Source organism: Homo sapiens, chromosome 12 (genome assembly GCF_000001405.40).
Source record: "Homo sapiens chromosome 12, GRCh38.p14 Primary Assembly".
NCBI lineage: Eukaryota > Metazoa > Chordata > Mammalia > Primates > Hominidae > Homo > Homo sapiens.
The window spans coordinates 105528557-105550251 of NC_000012.12; the positions used below are offsets into that span (position 1 = coordinate 105528557).

General features: G+C 42.4%; 1 long non-coding RNA gene across 3 annotated transcripts in view; it reads left to right on the top strand.

Moving 5' to 3' along the window:
- LOC105369958 (uncharacterized) overlaps positions 1 to 21479 on the top strand; it is a 60334-nt gene extending 38855 nt beyond the window's left edge. For 2 of the 3 annotated variants that reach the window (XR_007063438.1, XR_001749300.2), the window contains 3 exons: positions 16786 to 17003; positions 21020 to 21065; positions 21161 to 21479. This is a non-coding gene — a long non-coding RNA (uncharacterized LOC105369958). Of the gene's footprint in view, positions 1 to 16782; positions 17004 to 21019; positions 21066 to 21160 lie in introns of all 3 variants that reach the window. The other variant, XR_945305.2, reaches the window with a different exon arrangement.
- Positions 21480 to 21695: the final 216 nt, after the last annotated feature.

Consider the following 21695-nt stretch of genomic DNA (forward strand, 5'->3'; position numbering starts at 1 on the left):
AGTGCTGAGATTACAGGCGTGAGCCACCGTGCCTGGCAGCTTCCCTTCTTAATTTAATTATTTGTCTGTAGAATCTTTTGGCTTTTCTATGTTCTTTTTTTCCTCTTTTTCAATCTATCTACCTTTTTATTTTTTCTTTTCTTATTACACTGGTTATGACCAGTGCAATTTTGACTAAAGTACTGTTAGTAGATACTTTTGTCTCATTTCTGATCTCAGATGAAAAGCTATCAAGATTCCATTATTAAATATTAATGTTTTCTATAGTTTTTAAATATATATATATACTCTTACAGATTTTAAAACTTCTATTCTAGGCCTACTTTGCTATTATTTTTAAAAATCATGAATGGATGTTGGCTTTATAAATGCTTTTGAACTTACTGAACTGATCTTATGATTTTGCTCCCATATTGTATTAATGAGGTGAATTATATTGATTGATTAATTTTGAATGTAAAATGCAATTCTGCATTATTGGAAAAAACCCAACTTGGTTGTCATATATTATTCTTTTTATATATGGTTAGATAATATTTGGTTATAATGTTTTCATATAGGTTTATGAGAGACATGACTAATAATTTTCAATTCTTATGTTCTCATCAGGCTTTGTTTTCAAAGCAATGCTGGACATTATAGATAAATTGGGAAGTTTGCAGTATTTTTTTTACTTTTATTTAGAGGAAATTGTTTAAGCTTAGTGCTATTTCATCTTTAAATATTTAGAGGATTTCACCTGGGAAGCCATCTGGACCTGAAGATTTCTTTGTGGAGGCATTTAATTACAAATTCAATTTTTAAATTAGAGGACTTTTTCTTTTTTTAAAAATCCTGTGCCAGTTTTTCAAAGTTTTGCTTCTTCTCTTTTCTCCTTTTCTTTTCTTTTTTAAAGGAATTTCTCCATTTCTTCTAAATTTTCAGGAAAAACTCTAGGATTCTTTGATGTTCCTAAAAATACATGGTTAAGCCAAAAGGTGGTAAAGAAGTCAAGATCAAAGCATAGTGTCCAGGTCCTCTCTGGCCCAGTGGTTAAAAATGTGAACTCTGGCACTTTTCTACTCTTTAGTCTTTTTAAAGATAAATTTTAAATGCAAACAAACAAACAAACAATCAAACAAAAAAACTTGTTTATTCAGCTGCAGCATTGGAACCCTAAACAGTCACTAGACAAGGAATTCCAAGGTGAGAGTTTTCAGCACATTTCTGCTTGGTCTCTTATCCTTCTGCTCTGAGGGAAAAAGAGGGTTGGGCTCAGTCCTCTATGCCTCTCTTCTCTCAAGAATCTTGGTCCCTCAATTCCTGGCTGCCCTGAAAGCTCTGAACTATAATTTTTATGTCCCCAACTCTCCAAGATCATTGCAGTTTTTGCTGACATCTTGGCTCTTAACAGTTGTCCTCTGTCTGGATTCTTTGAAAATGCCACTAGAGGAAAATGGCTCACCTCTGTGGTTCTCTTCTCTCCAGGATCTTGACTTCTCAAGTATTGGATGCTTTAGCAACTCTCTGATGCCTTCAAATAGACATATTTTTGTATTTTAGTCGGCTTTTCTGCTTTTTTCTTGGCATAAACATTGGTCTGCTGTAAGTTACTCAATATAGGTAGTAGATATCTGAATATATCTTTTTTATTAACTTCTCACTTGAACTGAATTTTTGAATTAACCCATTGACTAAGAGTCTTGGTTGACAAGAGATAAGACATCTGCTACCATGATGATCATATTAATAGTAAGTAGCAGCTAAACATCCATTGATAAGTCATGAGGTACCAGATTCTCTGTTAAATTATTTATATGTATTGTTTCATTTATCCTTCTAAGAACCCAGGAGGTAGGTACTACTATCTTCATTCTTTAGATGAGAAACTGAATTCATAGTAACCTGCTCATATTCACAGAGCTAATTGATGACCATAATAAAATATGAGACAAAGCTGCCTGATACCAGAGGCCACACACACAATATTCAAAAGGTATTTAGACTACATTTATCATTGTAGTTGATGTCATTGGGCTAGAAGAACAAGGAGGGCTAAAACTGTTGGCAGGGGAAACTCTTTGGAGATTTAGTATGGGATGCAGGACAGCCAGACTAGTCGAGTGAAGGGGTAGACTCCCGCCATGCAGGAGATTGACCTCTTGCCTAAATAGAAGAGATATGTTATTTATAGTTCATAAATATCATACATTCCAAATCTGGAAGTCAGTTTTCTTACTTTTGTGTTTTTAAAAAAGGGCTGCATCTTACAATAGATGTCAAAAGAAACTCATCAGCTGCCTAGCACCAGAGTCAACTGCAGCAAAGTTGTCATGGCCAGCACATGTGCGACCTTCCTCTCTGCATCTGATGGCCATTTCAGTTGATTTATTTGATTTGGTAGCACCTTACAGGGTTGATTATAACTTATTGCTGCCCCTACATAACACTTCTTTAAAAAAGTTACACTAGGATTTAGCACTGAAATAAGAACTTGAATTCATTGGTTTTCCATCCTGAAGGAAATACCATCAATGCAGTTGAAATTGTCAATTTATTTTGGAATACAGCATAGACTTTTTGAAGCCAACAGTAGCTGATGTGACCGATTCCTGTATCATGAAGGACATCAAGCACCCAACATCTAAATGTCAAAAGCTTCTGGCTGACTTTTAAGAGAAGCTATTTAACTTCCAGGAATGTATATTTCAATAAAGGGAAAACAGAACAATGAATTTAACCAAGTCGAAAATTCAAATGAACTCCAGCGTTCTTTGACATGCCTGGAAATAACGCTGTTAGGCAAAAGGTTCCAAAAGAGTCAAAATCAATTATTTGATCCTGAGAAGAACTATAGCCTATTTGTTCAAATGCAGATTTAGCACCATGCTGCGTGGGTTTAAACCTTTGCTTTGATGCTCAATTGCTTGGGAATCTTGGGCACCCCTCTCTACCTTAACGTCCTCATGTGTACATGGGGATAATAATAGCATCTACCTAATGGAGGTTTCATGAGGATTAAATGAGTCAGTACAGGTAAACACTAAGAAATACTTGGCAAAGGATGAGTGCTCAATAAAGGTTAGATATCAGGACAAGCAGCACAGTGCTTTCGATATTACGCCTAATGTTTTGTCTGATGGTCTATATTAGTTCATTCTCATATTGCTATAAATAAATCCCTGAGCCTGAGTAATTTATAAAGAAAGGTTTAATTGGCTCCTGGTTCTGCAGGCTGTATAGGAAGCATGGTGCTGGCATCTGCTCAGCTTCTGGGGAGGCCTCAGGAAACTTACAATCATGGTGGAAGGTGAAGGGGGAGCAGGCATATCACATGGCCAGAGTATGAGCAAGAGAGAGAGAGAGATGCCACACACTTTTAAATGACCAGATCTCATGAAAACTTACTCACTATTGTGAGGATAGTACCAATGGGATGGTACTAAACCATTCATGAGAAACCTGCTCCTATGATCTAGTCACCTCCCACCAGGCCCCACTGCCAACATTGGGAATTACATTTCAACATGAGATTTGGGTAAGGACAGTATCCAAACTATATCACTGTCCATGGCCAAAAGTGATTAAAATAATTTTACATTCTGAATTTAAAGATGCTTTAGGGGTTAATGTTAAACACGGTATTGATGAAACAAGGTGTATTTAAGCATATGAATAAATGAGTGCTATTGTTAGCCAATGAAGTTTTTATTTGTTGCTACTGTTTTCTACTGACATTTAATGCAGTGGGGTTTTTTTTCTCACCAGAACTGGTGTTAAATTACATTTTTAATAACTGAACTCTGTAAAGCCTTTTCCATCAGCAGCCCTGCAGTCCATTGCCTGGGCTACTGCAGTTGACTCATAGCTGGTTTCCGCATGTATTGCTTTGCTTTTTTGCAATTGTAGCCATACACAAGTGACAGATATCTTTAACAGATGCAGATTGAATTATGTTGCTCTCTGCTGAAAAGACTCTAAAAGTTCCCCACTGTCCTCAGAATAAGACCCCAAATACATAACATTGTCTGACTCTTCCCTGTTGTGCCTCCTTTCTGGCCTCATGGTGTACCATTGTCCCTCATTCTGTCTGTCAGTCCCTCTTGAGGCCAAGCCCATTCTTCTCAGGACCTTTGCTCTTTGCCTTTCTCTGTCTGAAGGTTCACTGACTGTATGAGTCAGTGTTCTCCAGAAAAACAGAACCAAGAGATGTACAGATATTTAAGAGGGGATTTATTATGGAAATGGACTCACACTGAGAAGTCCCATGATCTTCTGTGTGCAGGCTATAGCATTAAAGAAGCTGGTGCTCCTGGTGCAGTGGCTCATGCCTGTAATCCCAGCACTTTGGGAGGCTGAGGCGGGCAGATCACGAGGTCAGGAGATTGAGACCATCCTGGCTAACACGGTGAAACCCCATCTCTACTAAAAATACAAAAAAAATTAGCTGGGCATGGTGGCAGGCGCCTGTGGTCCCAGCTACTTGAGAGGCTGAGGCAGGAGAATGGTGTGAACCCAGGAGGCAGAGCTTGCAGTGAGCCGAGATCGCACCACTACACTCCAGCCTGGGTGACAGAGCGAGACTCTGTCTCAAAAAAAAAAAAAAAAAAAAGAGGAAGCTGGTGCTCTAACTCTCCATTTAAGAGCAAAGGTCAGAGAACTGGGGAGACTGCTGGTATAAGTCCTTGAGGCTGAAGGCCTGAGAACCTGAAGCTCTGATGTCCAAGGGCAGAAGAAGATAGATGTCCCAGATCCAGAGGAGAGTTAAAATTTGCCTTTCCTTTGCCTTTTTGTTCTATCCAGTTTCTCAACAGATTGGATGATGTCCACCTACACTAGTGAGGGCAAATGTTCCTTATTCAGTCCACTGATTCAAAAGCCAATCTCTTCCAGAAACACTCTCACAAACACACCCAGATATAACACTATATCAGCTATCTGGGCAGCCCTTAACCCAGTCAAGCTGACACCTAAAATTAACCATCACATCAACTAACTCCTGCCCACTCTGAGGAAATGTCATTCCTCAAAGAAAGCCTTTTCTGATGTTAGGTCAAAATCAAACTCATATTACTAGCTTTCCCACTTTCTTCTTACAGCACATTCCATGGTTTGTTATTCTTTATTCTTTTGGGTGACTGTTTACTTAATGTTATTCCCTCCACTAGCTCATAAGTTCCATGAGGGCATGAATTGTGCATTTTTAAGGTGTTAAATTCCTAGTGCTTGGCATACACATATATCCTCTCTCTCTCTCTCTCTCTCTCTATATATATATATATATATATATATATATATATGAGTTGGCTCACACAATTATAAAGACATGCATACACACACATATATAGATACACATAGGTAGAAAAATGGATATACTATATATATGTATATCTTATTAAAATACAATATATGTAAAGCACACTATATTAGTCTGTTCTGAAACTGCTATAAAGATACTACCTGAAACTGGGTAATTTATAAAGGAAAGAGGTTTAATTGATTCACAGTTTCTCATGGATTGGGAGGCCTCAGGAAACTTACAATCATGGCAGAAAGGGAAGCAGGCACATCTTACATGGCAGCAGGTGAGAGAGAATGTGTGTGACTGCAGGAACAACTACCATTTATAAAACCATCAGATCCTGTGAGAATTCACTCACTACCATGAGAACAGAATGTGGGAACCACGCCCATAATCCAATCACTTCCCTCCCTCAACACATGGAGATTACAGATTCCTCCCTTGACACACGTGGATTGAAATTCAAGATGAGATTTGGGTGGGGACACAGAGCCTAACCATATTATTTCGCCCCGGCCCTTCCCAAATCTCATGTCTTTTATACATCTCAAAACCAATCATGCCTTCCCAACAAATTCCCAAAGTCCTAACTCATTTCAGCATTAACTTAAAAGCCCAAGTCCAAAGTCTCTTCTGAGACAAGTGAAGTCCCTTCTGCCTAAGAGCCTGCAAAACCAAAAGCAAGTTAGTTACTTCCAAGATATAATGGAGATGCAGGCATTGCGTAAATGCTCCCATTCCAAATGGGAGAAATTGGCCAAAACAAAGGGGATAAAGGCCCCATGCAAGTCCAAAACCCAGCAGGGCAGTTATTAAGTCTTAAAGCTCCAAAATAATCTCCTTTGACTCCATATCTCACATTCAGGTCTCACTGATGCAAGAGGTGGGCTCCCACAGTCTTGGGCAGCTCTACTCCTGTGGCTTTGTAGGGTACAGCTCCCCTCCTGGCTACTTTCACTGGCTGGCCTTGAGTGTCTGTGGCTTTGTTCCAGGCACACAATGCAAGCTATCATTGGCTCTCATTCTGGGGTCTAGAGGACAGTGGCCCTCTTCTCACAGTTCTACTAGGCAGTATCCTAGTAGGGACTCTGTGTGGGGGCTCCAGCTCCACATTTCCCATCTGCATTGCCTTAGCAGAGGTTCTCCATGAGGGCTCCACCCAAGCAGCAAACTTCTGCCTGTACATTCAGGCATTTCCTTACATCCTCTGAAATCTGGGTGGAGGTTCCCAAACCTCAGTTCTTGACTTCTGTGTACTCACAGGCCCAATACCACATGGAAGCCACCAAGGCTTGGGGCTTGCACCCTCTGAAGCAACGGCCCGAGCTGTACCTTGGCCACTTTTAGCCATAGCTGGACACAGGGTACTAAGTCCTAAGACTGCACACAGGAGCCAGCTGGCCCGTGAAACCATTTTTGACTCCTAGGCCTCTGGGCCTGTGGGAGCAGCTGCTGCCAAAATCTCTGACATACCCTGGAAACATTTTCCCCATTGTCTTGGTGATTAACATGTGGCTCCTTGTTATTTATGCAAATTTCTGCAGAAGGCTTGAATTTCTCCCCAGAAAATGGATTTTTCTTTTCTATTGCATCATCAGGCTGCAAATTTTCCAAACTTGAATGGTCTGCTTTTCTTTTAAACATAAGTTCCAATTTCAGATAATTTCTCTCAAGTTCAAAGTTCCACAGATCTCTAGAGCAGGGACAAAATGCTGCCAGTCTCTTTGCTAAAGCATAGCAAGAGTCACCTTTACTCCAGTTCCCAAGAAGTTCCTCACCTCCATCTGAGACCACCACAGCTGGAACTTCATTGCCCATATCCCTATCAGCATTTTGGTTTAACCCATTCAACAAGTCTCTAGGAAGTTTCAAACTTTCCTACATTGTCCTGTCTTCTCCTGAGCCCTCCAAACAGTTCCAACCTCTGCCTATTACCCAGTTCCAAGGTCACTTTCAGTTTTCAGGTATCTTTATAGCAGTACCCTACTCTCTGCAGTACCAATATACTGTATTAGTTCTCACACTGCTATAAAGATACTACCCCAAACTGAGTAATTTATAAAGGAAAGAGGTTTAATTGACTCACAGTTCTGCATGGCCAGGGAGTCCTCAGGAAACTTACAATCATGGTGGAAGGGGAAGCAGGCACGTTTTACATGGTGGCAGGTGAGATAGAGCGTGTGTGAGAGCACATGAAAAACTACCATTTATAAAACCATGAGATCTTGTAAGAACTCACTCACTATTACAAGAACAGCATGTGGGAAACCGCCCCCATAATCCAGTCACTTCTCTCCCTTGACACGTGGGGATTACAGGTCCCTCCCTTGACACATGGGGGTACAATTCAAGATGAGATTTGGGGGGGACACAGAGCCAAACCATATCACACACAAAATATTTAGCTGGATAACTTTTTTAGAGATGAAAATTTCCATGTTACAAACACCCAAATCAAGAAAGAGATAAGAACACTCAGAAGCCTCTCTTGTTCTAGTCATTCCCAAAAGGCAAAAATTGTTTGGATTTTTCCCATCTGAGATTAATTTTGGTTGTTCTGGAGCTTTCTATAAATGAAATTGTAGACACGTACTCTCCTGTCTAGCTTCTTTTTGCTCAACATTATGTGTGAGATCTATCCATTTTGTGCATGTCCTGATAGTTTTGTTTTCATTGCTATATTGCAGTCTATTGTCTGAATGTACCACAATTTATTTATCTTTGTACTATTGATAGAAAGCTGGGTTATTTTCAGTTTTGAGTTATAACATATATTGTTTCTATGAACATTCTTTTGCATGTCATACACACTGATTTCTCCTGGGTTTATAACCAGGACCGCAATTGCTGCAAAGCTGCATCATATGTTTTGTCAAATACATAGTTGCCAAATTAGAAAAAATGCAAAATTTCATGTAGTATGGGGGAACCTTTCCCTCCATTTTGGATGAGGAGTTCCTCAGAGTTCTGGACTTCATCTTAGTCTTTTTTTCACAAAGTGTTTATGGGCCATGAAGATTCTCAAAAATAGGTGGAATCAAATTGGCTGTCATAATACATGGAAAGAATTTATAGGGACAGGGGTATCTGGAGGTGTGAGGTCTCTTTTGTGGTGCCTGCTGAGATGTTCTGATCTCAGCCCTGGAGAGTCTTCCAGGCTGGGATCCAGTTAGGCTTGTTCTACCTGTCCACTCCCTTTCTTCCTCCTTCTTGGCTTTGCACTTTTTCATAATTTCTTACTTCCAGACGAATGGGTTTCAGGGATGAGTTTACAAACATATCAATCATTTGCTTCCTGGAACTAAAAGTTCCCCACAGGCCCCTACTGCACTTGAATCAGTAAGGTCAGCAAGTGATCAACCCATTTGCAAGGGGCTATTTGTTACCTACGACTGGGGGCTAGGAGCTAAGCCTGGGCTGATGTAGCATTTGGGTAGTGGCAGAAAGAGCTCTCCACTGAAGCTCACTCCCCCTTTGGTGTGACAGTGACAAACTCCACGATGACTTCTCTTTGGCTAATCAGGATCCTTTCCAGTAGAAGCCTTGACATCTCATTTAACCCCAGATGTAAAGACACCTCCATTCCAGAGCACATGGATCTTAACTGCTCAGAACACACTCAGAGTCCAGAGGAAACTGCAAGTGTTTCCTTTCCTTCTCAGAAGATTTTTCACACAATGCTGAATCTCTCTTTCCTGGATTTCTGGAGTCCTTTCTCCTTCAGTTTTACTCTTCCCTCCATATTCCCTCCACCTTCTCCTGGGTTCCTGTCTTTATCTTGTACATCTCAGGCTGGAAGTAATATTTCCAGTGTCCTCCTGCTTCTCCCCTACCCCTCATGTTGATAAGTATCATTGCTGGAGAGTCTCATCTACTTCTGAGAAGGGCAACCACAAGATAAAGACTGGTGGAGCTTTGGGGAAGACAGAATGGTGCCCCTAAAGCACCACTTTGATGCATGGTTTTTCTAAAATATTCCTCACCACCACAGTTAAGGGTTGGTTGGAGTGGGCAGAAAAGTCACGGAACAAATGGAAACTTCTTTTTCTAAAAAAAAAATTATTTTTTAAGTCAGATTTATTGAGGAATGTTTTATACATCATGAAATTCATCTTTTTTTTTTGGACCTACAGTGCAATGAATTATGAGAAGTGTATACAATTGTGTAACCACCACCATAACTGAGATACAGAACATTTCCATCTCTCTAAAAAGTGCCCTGGGGCCTTAGCACAGCCAGTGCCTCCCACCAGTCCCAAGAGGGGATCTTTTACAGTGCAAATGCCCCCTAAGGAGGCCACATTAGTCAGTCTGGAATGGATGGCTGAGGATAGGTCTTTGTTTCCTCTAGATGGGAGGAATTAAGGCTGTGTGAACTGAAGATGGAGTGGCTTGTGCTGAATCCAACTTAGCCCCAGGGACAAGGTTCTGGATGAAGTGTCAGGGGATTGAGACCTGGGTCTGGTGGGGAAACTGGGGGGAAGCATCAACCCCAGGGGGGAAACTGCAGCTGGATGTGGACTGGGGGTTGAAAGGAGGAGCAAAACCAGAAACCAAGAGGCAGCAACTCAGCATCCCACATGGAGTCCTTTGGTTCTTTGGACTATGTCCTCAATAGTCTTAAAAGTGTCAGAACTCTCATAAGGAATATGGGCTGGGATCAAGGAAGAGTGGGCAAAAGGGGGTGGTCTGGGTGGCACTAAAGACTTGCTGGTTTCAGGTTGTGTCTGTGTGTGTATGCATGGGTGTGAGGATGCATGTGTGCATATGTGTATGTGTGTGTATGTATGTGTGCATGTGTGTATAAGTGTGTGTGTGTATGAGTGTGTGTGCACATGTATACATGTGTGTCAGTGTGCATGCATGCGTGTGTGTGCCTGTGTATTCAGAGACCATGGCAAGACACTGGGTCATCTCAAGACATCCCAGCTGACCCATATTCTCAGCTGGGTAGGGAAGCTTGGGGCAAGGCCAGCCAAGCCTGGTTGGGGCAAGGCCAGCCAAGCCTGGTTGGGGCAAGGCCAACCAGGGGGCTCCAGTGCAATGAAGGAGCCTCTTCCCTTTGTGCACTGGAGCCCCCAGTGCTGCTTCATCAACAAGCCCGTGCTGGAGCTGAGCAGAGCAGCATGTGCTGGGGGCTGACATCCCAGCTGCATGCTCACGCGCCGTCACCCCCAGCTGGAGCAACCGCACATTCTTAGACGCTCTATGTCATGGAAAGAAAGGTGAAGTGCTCCATCTGCTCTGCTCTGCTCTCTCCAAACGTTACCACTCTGGCAACAAAACGGAGGGCACCGTGGCTAGAGACTATTTGTTCTCTTGGACGGTGGAGAGATTCTTTTAAATCCTGGAGTCCTTGATGGTATTAAGTTTGAGGAATTTTTCAAACCATCATCAGGGAGAAGCATCTGCTAACAACCCCTTTCTGCACATAGTACTCATGGAGATTTGGTCTGAGGAGAATGACTCGGCAGGTTGTGTTTTTGTGGAATTATGCACCAGAGGAGATAAGAACATGCTTTCTTTCCCATAGCTGTTTGCTTTAATTGATGAATATGTTTAATTATTGAGCCCCTACTATGTGCAAGATGATAGAAAGCCAGAGGTAAACCAGCCAGGTAAGGTCTCTGCCCTCAAGAGCTGATGGTCTGGTGGAGGTGAGCATCTGCCCAGAGCAAGGCCCTGTAGGAGGCTCTCCGATGGGCTCCAAAGTGGTTGTGACTGATTGATTGCTTCCACAGTTGTAATTAATATGCCCTTTACACAAAGACTTTGCAGCTCCTTCCATCGAGAGGTGGAGCCTGTTTGCCTGTCCTTGAATCTGGGCTCAACTGTGACTTGATTTGGCCAGTAGAAGGTGAGGAAGTGGGACAGTACCAATTGTGAACCTAGGCCTCAGGAGATTGGGTGCATATCTTCTCTTTCCTAGAACTTTGCTTCTGTTGGGTAAATAGGCTTGGACTAGTGAGCCAGAGAATGTGAGAGCCTGTGGAGAAGAGCTCATTTGTTCAACTTGAAACCATGTAAGATCAGTTGACAGTTAGCTGATTCCAAAACAGATGAGAGAGTCCAGCTTGGAATAACAGAGCTGCTTTTTCTACTCGCAGCGACCACAGACACATGACTATGCCCAGCTAAGAGCAGCAGGGCTGCCCAGCCAACCTGCAGACATGTGAGCATAATAAACCTTGGTTTCTCACTGAGCAAGGCTGTCTGCATTCACTAATGGCTGTGCAAGGCTCTGACTTTCTGGAGACTCAAGAAGCGCCCAGTGTCCCAAAGAGCCCCTTTGAAACAGCTCCTCTTCTCTTCTTTCACCCTTCCATCCCCAGCTTTAAACCATCGCTTGTTTGAGGCAGCAAGAACCATTGCTATATGTTTATAGCATTTCACAAATCATTTCACGGGAGGAGAGCAACACAGCAAAATTGGTACGATGGATATTTATTTTCCTAATGCCACTTATCCGGTGTTGGTTGTGAAAATAACCTGTCTGCTGGACTCCTCTACAGCTGGTGGAAAGGGTGGGAAAGCCAAGAGGAACATAAAGAAGAGAGAGAAGCAAGGCACTACTTTATTTTTGTAGAAGGAAAAAATACTATAGGTTTGTCCACATGGGATTTGGTGGAATGGTTCAGAAATTAGTTTGTCTGAACACTCATTTCTCCATTCATCCACTTAACACGGTTTACTTTTAATGACTTTTTAAAATAAAAATCGTGTACATTTAAGGTATACAACATGATGTTTTGATATATGTATACTTAGTGCAATGATTATTATCGTCAAGTAAATTAACATATCCTTTTCTTCACATAGTTAAATTTTGTTTCTTTTTTGTAGTGACAGCATCTGAAGTCTATTCTTTTAGCACATTTCTAGTGTACAGTATAGTATTTGATATGGTTTGGCTCTGTGTCCCCACCCAAATCTTATTTTGAATTGTAATCCTCATAATCCTCATGCGTCTTGGCGGGACCTGGTGGGAGGTGATTGGATCATGGGGGCAGTTTCCCTCATGTTGTTCGTGTTATAGTGAGTTCTCACAAGATCTAATGGTTTTATAAGTGTTTGACAGTTCCTCCTACTCACACTCTTTCTCTCTTCTGTCACCATGTAATATGTGCCTGCTTCCCCTTTGGCCATGATTGTGTTTCCAGAGGCCTCCCCAGCCATGTGGAACTGTGAGCCAATTAAACCTCTTTCCTTTATAAATTACCCAATCTCGGGTATTTCTTTATAGCAGTGTGAAATGAACTCATACAGAGTTATTACTTAAAGTCCTCATGCTGTGCATTGGAGCTCTAGATTTATTCATCTTACATAGCTGTGACTTTGTACCTTTTGGCCAACATCTCCTTCTATATTCCCCACCATTCTACTCTCTGCTTCCATGAGTTTGATTTTTTTAGATTCCACATATAAGTAAGATGCTGCAGGATTTTCTTTATGTGTCTGGCTCATTTCACTTGGCAAAATGTCCTCTGGGTTCATCTATGTTATCACAAGTGGCAGAATTTTCTTTTTCAAAGCTGAATAATATTCCATCACATGTATTTGTATATGTGTATATATATATATATATAAAATATATATTTCTCACAATTTCTTTATCCATTCATCTGTGAGTGGACACTTAGGTTGTTTCCTTATCTCCGCTATTGTGAATAATACTGCAATGAACATGGAAGTGCAGGTATCAGTTCGAGATACTGGTTTCATTTCCTTTGGATATATACCCAGAAGTGGGATTGGATTGCTGGATCTTACACTAGCTCTAGGTTTAATTTTTGGAGGTATCTCCATACTGTTTTCCACAGTGGTTGTACCAATTTACATTCCTATCAATAGTATACAAGGGTTCCCTTTTTTTCACACCTCTCCAACACTTGTTATCTTTTGTCTTTTTGATAATGGCCATCCTAATTGATGTGAAGTGATAGCTCCTTGTGATTTTGATTTCCATTTCCCTGATGATAGTGATTTAAGCATTTCTTTTTCATATACCTGTTGGCCATTTGTATGTCTTCTTTGTAAAAATGGCTACTCAAGTCCTTTGCTCATTTTTCAATAGAGTTATGTGTTTTTTTCTATTAAGTTGTGTGAGTGCTCTATATACTTGGGATGTTAACCTCTTGTCAGATATGTGGTTTGCAAATATTTTCTCCCAACCCGTAGGTCACTCATTCATTTTGTTGATTGTTTTCTTTGCTGTGGAGAAGCCTTTTCATTTGATGTGACATAGATTTCTTGAGCACTTTCTATCTACTGGGCAGGTGTTAAGCCTGTGAAGAAGGTGAACATCATTTCTGTCCTCCTGAAGCTTATGTTTCAGACAGGTGGACATCACTGTGTAAAAACAAACATGGCAAAAACTTGCAGAGAGACATCTGGAAGGCTGCTGGACTGGATGAGTTCCAGGGAACAGGGGAATGCGGGGATGCAGGCATGTGAGGATGCAGGGATGGAGGCCAGGCTGCAGTGGTGACCACTGATGGCTGCTCAGCACCTTCCCCCCATTTTGCAGCTCTAATATCCTGATTTCCTTTAGGGAAAGAATCTCTTCCCTCTTTTGTGCAGTCATGATTGGTTAAATACAAGTGCCTGCTTCTCCTTAGCCTCAGAACGTCAGATCCTCTCTTTCTTGGGACTTTGAATTTTGAACCCAGTGATGCAAAAAATATAACCCAGAATTAAGGTGCAGTCATTCCAGTGACAGAGTCCTGCTGCAGCTCTTAGTCACTTCTGCTATTTACACCCCCAGAACTCTCTTTGTCTCTGTCCTGTCCTGAGAATAAGTCACTGGTCTTTTCTTTGATTCCACAAATTATCTGATAAGCTTCAGATATATTTCTTTCCTGGGTAAACTAGTCAGAATCAACTTCTGTTGTTTGCTACCGAAGAAATCTAGCTGGTTCAGTTGCCTTCATGGGCCCTGCTTAGCTGTGTCATATACTCTCTTATGTCAATGTTAGTGGCTCTTTCGGTGCTGGCCCAGAGTAGGGCCTTGAAACATTCTTATTACTTCTCTCTGTGTGTGCTTTCAAAAGCCAATATACTCCTCATAGAATCATTTTATGAATTGTGCTTTAGTGCAGAAGTTAGCAAACTTTTTCTGTAAAGGGCCAGCAGCTTGAAACAACATCCATTTATTGGTTTCAGTTGACCAGGGAGTAGACATGACTTAGCTGGGTACCCTGGTCAGAGTCTCATAAAGTTGCTATCAAGTGGGTGGCTGGGCTGCATTCTTATCTGGAGGCTTGAGTTGGGAAGAAGTCCTATCCAAGTTCATATGGTTGTTGGCAGAATTAAGCTCCTTGAGACTGTAGAATTGAGGTCTTCAGTTCCTAGAGGCCACCCACAGTTCCCTGCCCTGTGGCCCTCCCTATTGGGAGTTCACATAATAACAGCTTGCTTTTTCAAGGCTATCAGAAGAGTCTCTCTCTTCAGTCTGCTAAGACAGAGTCCCACACAAAATAGCATAATCAAGGCAGTGATATTCAATCATCTTTGCTGTATAACATAATCCAATTCAATCTCTTAGCCTGCACCAAGAGATTTTTATAAGGATGTTACTTATGATCTCACTTTACATACTCTTTATGCTAAATCTTGGAATTTTTTTTTCTGGTAGCTGTGTTTTTCTTGAGCAGCTGGCTGGTTTTAATCTCATGAACATTATAATATTTAAAAAATAAATTTATCGAAGAAAAATATATTTCAATATATACAAGTTAAAAAAAACAAACAAAAAAGATGCTGAACACTGATTTTTGAATTTGATTGGGTTTCTGTCTTCACTTTGTCTGCTGGGGAGCTCAGGGCTGCCAAAGTAGAGCCATCCATACTAAGTGTGAAGGACTCCATGGTATATATTTCCAGTATTTGCCTTGTTCTTGGCTCCATGTATTAGTCAGTTTTCACACTGCTGATAAAGGCATACCCAAGACTGGGCAATTGACAAAAGAAAGAGGCTTAATGGACTTACAGCTCCACGTGGCTGGGGAGGCCTTACAATCATGGTAGAAGGTGAAAGGCATGTATCACATGGCAAGCAGACAAGAGAAGAGAGCTTGTGCAGGGAAACTCCCCTTTTTAAAACCATCAGATCTTGTGAGACTTATTCACTATCACAAGATAAGCATGGGAAAAACCTATCCCCATGATTCAATTATCTCCCACCAGGTCCCTCCCACAATAGAAAGGAATTATGGGAGCTACAATTCAAGATGAGATTTGGGTGAGGACACAGCCAAATCATATCACTCCATTTAATGTTCCAGTACTGATTTCTCTTCTTTCTCTCCAACATAATTCATGTGATCTTCCTGCTTTGTGTGTATCTAAATCTTAAATCCTCTCTAAATAAGGTGGGGAAAATGTTTGATAAAAGAATAAAGTATGGTCCTTTAGTACGTGTGGTGCATTGGAATGTGAACAACACCTATACTTAAACTAGAACAAATAGTAATTCAGTGGAAGGACCTTTAAGTTCTTCTCTTATGATTTTAAGCATGAGAAGAGAGTTGAAAAATTTGCCCATGGCAAATATTGCTGGTTTCTTCTTCTGGATTCCCAAGTCTAGGTTTGGGGAAGAGGATTAATCCCAGCTCATGGGCATTGCAAGCTACACTGTGCTATGTCTAGGTGGGGTTGGGCTGGGGCAGGGATCATGGCTCAGTATTTTGAACCCATGAAATCACAAGCTACATCTTACAAGGGTGCCATTGTGCCTGGTACCTCAGTGGTGATATCACTGCTGGGCTGTCTCCCTCCAAGCGTTCTCATAGCCTGGGCAAGGCAGCTGTAGAATGGTTCTCCAGTGAAATCATCTGGCCCAAATCATGGCTGCCAGCCTCACCCTGCACACCCAGGCCCCATCCTAATCTCCCAGCAGGAGGTGCTTGGGGCAAGCTGGCTGCCTTAGACACAGTGATGCTGGGCCTGCTGGCCTGAGGGAGCTTAGCTCAGGTAGCCTCCCCAGAGAGACCTGGCCCTTCCCAAGGAGCTGGATCTTGAGGCCAGCTTTCCAAGGCCAAGGGTTGCCATCGGCTGCCGTTCCCTTTCCAAGCCATGGATGCTCTGGAACATTGTAAGTTTCCTTCAGTGCAATGTGGATTATAGATGTGTGTATAACTGAAATGATATCTCAAGTGTCTAGCATAGTGCTTGGCGTATAGTATGAATGAACTAAAAACAAGCTCATTTATGGAAACATATATTAACACATGGCTCCTAACAAATGGAAGTTTCTATTATCTAGCAAATATATACTGATTTGCTTAGAGAGGCAGTATCACAGGATGGTTAAGAGCAATAGCTCTAGAGACAGGCTGCCTGGTTCAAACCTTGCCTCTGATGCTAACTAGCTGTGTGATCCTGAGCACATTACCTGTGTTCCTCTCTTCTCTGTGTTTCCTTGTGTATGAAATGGGACTAAAATAGATACTGAATCTCTGTTATGTCCTTGCTTTTTTTCTTGGTTCGCTCTCCCTTTGGAGAAGCTAGCTGCCCTGTCAGGAACACATGCATGTGGTGAAAAACCGAGACTTCCAGCCAACAGCCATGTGAGCGAGCCATCTTGGAAGTGGATCCTCCAGCCCCAGTCAAGCCTTCAGATGACTGCAGCTTTGGCCAACATCTTGACTGCAACTTCCTGAGAGACCCTGAGCAAGAATCACACCATGAAGATGTTCCTAGTTTTCTGATTCTCAGAAACTGGGTGAGATAATACATGTTTGCTGGTTTAAGCCACTAAGTTTTGGGATAATTTGTTATGCAGCAATAGATAACTAATACAGATTGTGTGTGTGTGTGTGTGTGTGTGTGTGTGTGTGTGTGTGTGTGTGTGTGTACAAGATGAATATGGCTTCTGCAATCATGGAGATTAAATTCTAGTGGAGCATAGGAAGGAGTCAGCTGACAATACCAATACAGTGTGGAAAGTGCTATGGGAAAGCACAGGGTGCCATGGGAGAACATAGAAGGGGCTCTGGGTATAACTCGAAAGAGGTGATGGTCAGAGGAGGCTTCCTGTACTCAGTTACATCTAAGGTGCATCTTTTTTTTTTAGACAAAGTCTTGCTCTGTCACCCAGGCTGGAGTGCAGTGGCACAATCTCTGCTCACTGCAACCTCTGCCGCCTGGGTTCAGGCAATTCTCCTGCCTTAGCCTCCTGAGTAGCTGAGATTAGAGGCATACGCTACCACACCTGGCTAATTTTTGTATTTTTTATTAGAGACAGGGTTTCAGCATGTTTGCTAAGCTGGTCTCGAACTCCTGACCTCAAGTGATCCACCCGCCTCAGCCTCCCAAAGTGGTGGGATTACAGGTGTGAGCCACCGCACCTGGCCAGTTGCATCTTGAATGGTGAGCAGAGCTGGTCAAGCAGGCAAGTGGGTGAGGGGAATGAGGAAGGGCATTTCAGGAGAAGGAACAGCATGTGTGAAGGCCTGGAAGTGAGACAGATGGCAAGCAAAGGTGAGGGTGGGAAAGGGGCCAGATGATATTGAGCTTCAGGCTCCATGATAAAGGAGTTTGGATTTTGAGGGGTTTTGGGCAGGTTAAGATTGTGTTTTAGAAATATCAATCTGACTGTGGCATGGAGAATAGAGTGGAACTAGAAAAAAATGGGAACCTAACAATTATTTCCATTTATATGTTCTACGATGATATTATATTATCTGATATACATAGATTTATTTTTTTAAGTAGAGTTCACTCCTAACATATGAAAATACTTGCTTTATTTAAAATAATTTTAAGTGAGGATTTTCTCATGTTATTGTTAGCAAATGAAGTCTAATATGATGACACATGATGTAATTGAACATACCGCAGTAAATTTAACCAATCCCCTGTTGATATTTTTATCTTTCACTGTTATAACAACACTGGGATTGACATGAAAAGGGTCTCCCAGAATCTTGCACAGTGGGTTTTATTGTTTGGTGTATTCTAGTAGGGAGTTGAGGGTCTGTAGTGGCAGGATTATGTAGAGGAGGTGGCAGATTGAGCCCTAACTACCCAGTATATTGGTGACATCATCTCTGGTATTTTCTGAGACATTCCTAATTTGGAACATTTCACCTCATTGGGGTCATATATCCTGAGTTTTTGTTTGGAAAATATTCTCCCCTCTCCATGCCATGAACTTCACGCTTCAGCAGTACTGACTTGCTTTTCATGTCTCATACCTGCTATGCTGTTCTTACATCCTGCCTTTGCCCACACTGACCTGTTACTGGAATGCACCCCCTCCTCTTTGTCTGTCTACCTCCTTTCCATCATTTCTTTAAGACTCTTCTGAGACATCTCCAAGAGGGCTTTCCTGATCTTGCTGCACCTCTCCAACCCAGTGCCCTGGACTTACTTCTATTCCTGAACTTAGCACAATATATCAAAATGATCATTTTGTGGCTCTCCCCAACTCAACCATGAACTCCTCAATGGTAAATGATCATGAGTTAAAGAACAAAACAAAACTGCTCTATTACTTTATATAATGACTGGAATACTTTGGGCATTGAGCAAAATTTTACTGAAAGGATAAGTGAGTCAATGAGCCCTGATGGAAAAGGTGAGTAGTTGGATTGTCCAAGGCCTGGGGTTTTGCTGGATAAAGCTAGCCCAGTTAGGCCAGGAAATTGAAATTGCTAAGAGGGATAAAGTGATGGACCATGGTGTCTTTGTTGGACAGGAAGAAAGTGAAGCGAGGAGGAGCTGGTAGAGAGGAAGCAGAGGAGTCAAGGACGTGAGGGTTCTGTGCATTTGAGGGACAGGCGTGGTGAGGGTAACACCCCACCTGGCTGAACTGACAGATGGTAGTTCTCAAACTCAACCAGGCATAAGCATCATCTAGGGGCTTGCTAACAAGGCATATTTCTGAGTATCTCTTTAGTGAGTCTAACTCAGTAAGTCTGAGGTGGGGTCTAGGATAGGCATATTTAAGGAACACCCCAGGAAGTTATCATTCAAGGGGTCTCTGCCCCACTTATGAATACCTTCTGAAATGTGAGGCTTTGGGGAAAAAGTAAGATGTCTGATTTTAAGACTTCAGAGGTGGAGATGTGCTTCCTGAAGTCAGGTCCAGGAGTGGCCACAGGAATGCATGATTGGGACAGGAATGCATGGAGGTAAAGACCAAGGTCAAAAGGTGTAGTGGTTTATCCTCGTGCATGTAATAGTCACCTAGGATGGTGGCAACACTTAGGGGAGGAAGGACTCAGCACCATGTGCCAAATCTTCCATGAACCAGAGGGCTGTAGGATGATCTCCCTGATAGGGTGGAAACTTTACAAACTAATAACTACGGTTCTTGTGTGTGAATGCCTAACCGTACTGTGGGAGGAGCCTGTATGTGGCTGAGAAGAAGAAAGCGGGATCTGCTGGAACCTTTTTCTTCCCAGCATTTCTAAGGCTGTAAGCTTGCAGGGGAGGGGCAAGCAAGTGACTGCAAGTGGTGCAAAAGGCTGACAGAGCGTAATCATGACCATAGATGAAAAAGGCCCACTTGGAAAGCCACTTGGAGTTGAGACTAGAGAAGAGGCTCAAGAAGTGTTGATGCATCCCACCACACAAACAGTGGTGTCAACAGAAACTATCCTTGGTCAATAATCCAAGTATCTCAGGTGTGACATCATTGAGATTTGAGGTGCCACAGGTGCCAGTTGATCATACTTCTTTCTTCCAATTGAGTCTAATCAATCTGAGAAATAGAAATGAGTGATAAATAAGGGTTCAGATTCCACATTTATTACCCAGAGTTGGACTGGAGAATAGGGCTTAAAACAGAAGCTCAAATTGGACTTTCTACTTCTGCTCCTCCAAATCTAGTGCCTAGATTCATCCCTTATGAGGTGAGTTAAATCTGCAAAGCCAGTCTTGCCCCATCAGCAGCATCCTGGAGGAAACTGCCCTGCCCCACGCCTCATCCATTGCAGGGGAGTGGTGGCCTCCAGGCCTGCCTCTTCATGCGGAGATCCACCCCTGGTTAATGCAGCTCAGTGGATGAAAGGCTCTGCCCGGATCACCATGGCATTAGGTCACCACTCCTGCCCTGAGGAGGCACAAGAGAGGAGGTGAAGAGAATGGCTGTCTGAGTGACCCACAGTGTTTGAGGCAGTTCCCACTTTATGGACCAAGCTGTGAGAGAAGAACAAAAGCTCCTTGTAAACTCTGAAAGTGTAGGAGAGAAGCCACTGTAGAGAGGGAGTTGGGCCCTCAAGAGAAGGGTCTTAGAGGATGGGAACATGGTGCGATGTCTGGCATTTTACAGCTCCCTAACACTGTTATCTACGGGATGATTTCTTCAATTTTTTTTGAACCAGTAAAGTCCTCAGTTTTGGATGCAGCAAGCATGACATCAATGAGAATGCTCCTCACAGATCCCTGATTGCATAGTGTGTCATTGACTGAGGGCTCTGCTGCTGGGCTCTGAAATTCGTCATAGTTTTTGTGCCAAAGTTGTGCCTCACAAAAACAGCTTCCAGCCAGTGCCTGAGTCCAGTGATGGACCATGGGGTCTGATATGGTTTGGCTATGTCCCCATCCAAATCTCATCTTGAATTGTAGTTCCCAGAATCCCCACGTGTTGTTGGAGGGACCAGGTGGAGATAATTGAATCATGGGGGTGGTTTCCCCCATCCTGTTCTCGTGATAGTGAGTTGGTTCTCATGAGATCTGATGTTTTTACAAGGGGCTTCCCCATTCACTGGATATTCATTCTTCTTTTCCCAGCTGCCATGTGAAGAAGGACATGTTTGCTTCCACTTCTGCCACGATTGTAAGTTTCCTAAGGCCTCCCCAGCCATGTGCAACTGTAAGTCAATTCAATCTCTTTCCTTTATAAATTACCCAATCTCTGGTTTGTCCTTATAGCAGTGTGAGAATGGACTAATACAGGGTCTGTGTTGGACAGGAAGGACATGAAGAGAGGAAGGGCTGGTGGAGAGAATGCAGAGTAGTCATAAGACACGAGCCTCCTCTGATGGTCGACTTTGCCTTGAGAACTCAGATGACCTTGCCAGAATCTTCTTAGATAGCTTGGAACTCTAGAACATTTCTACTCACCCTTCTTCCTTCTCCCATTCACTCAAGGCCAGACCTGCAATGTGATCTGACAACTCCCAGCCTTACAAGGTTCTCTTCCAATTTTCTCTCACAGGGATTTTCCCTAATAAAATCATCACACATTTAATCCTGCCTTAATGACTGCTTGTTGGAGGACCCAGACTAACACAGCAAGTCAAGTGGGAGGGATGTGGTGGCTAGGACACTTATCGTACTGAGCAAAACCTGCCTCAGGGAGTGGCAGCTCTGAGAAAATGCAGGAAAGCAAACCAAACCACTGGTTACTAAGAGCAAAGATGTGAGATGTTGTGAGAGTTTACACAGCAATAATGATGTGCTGGGT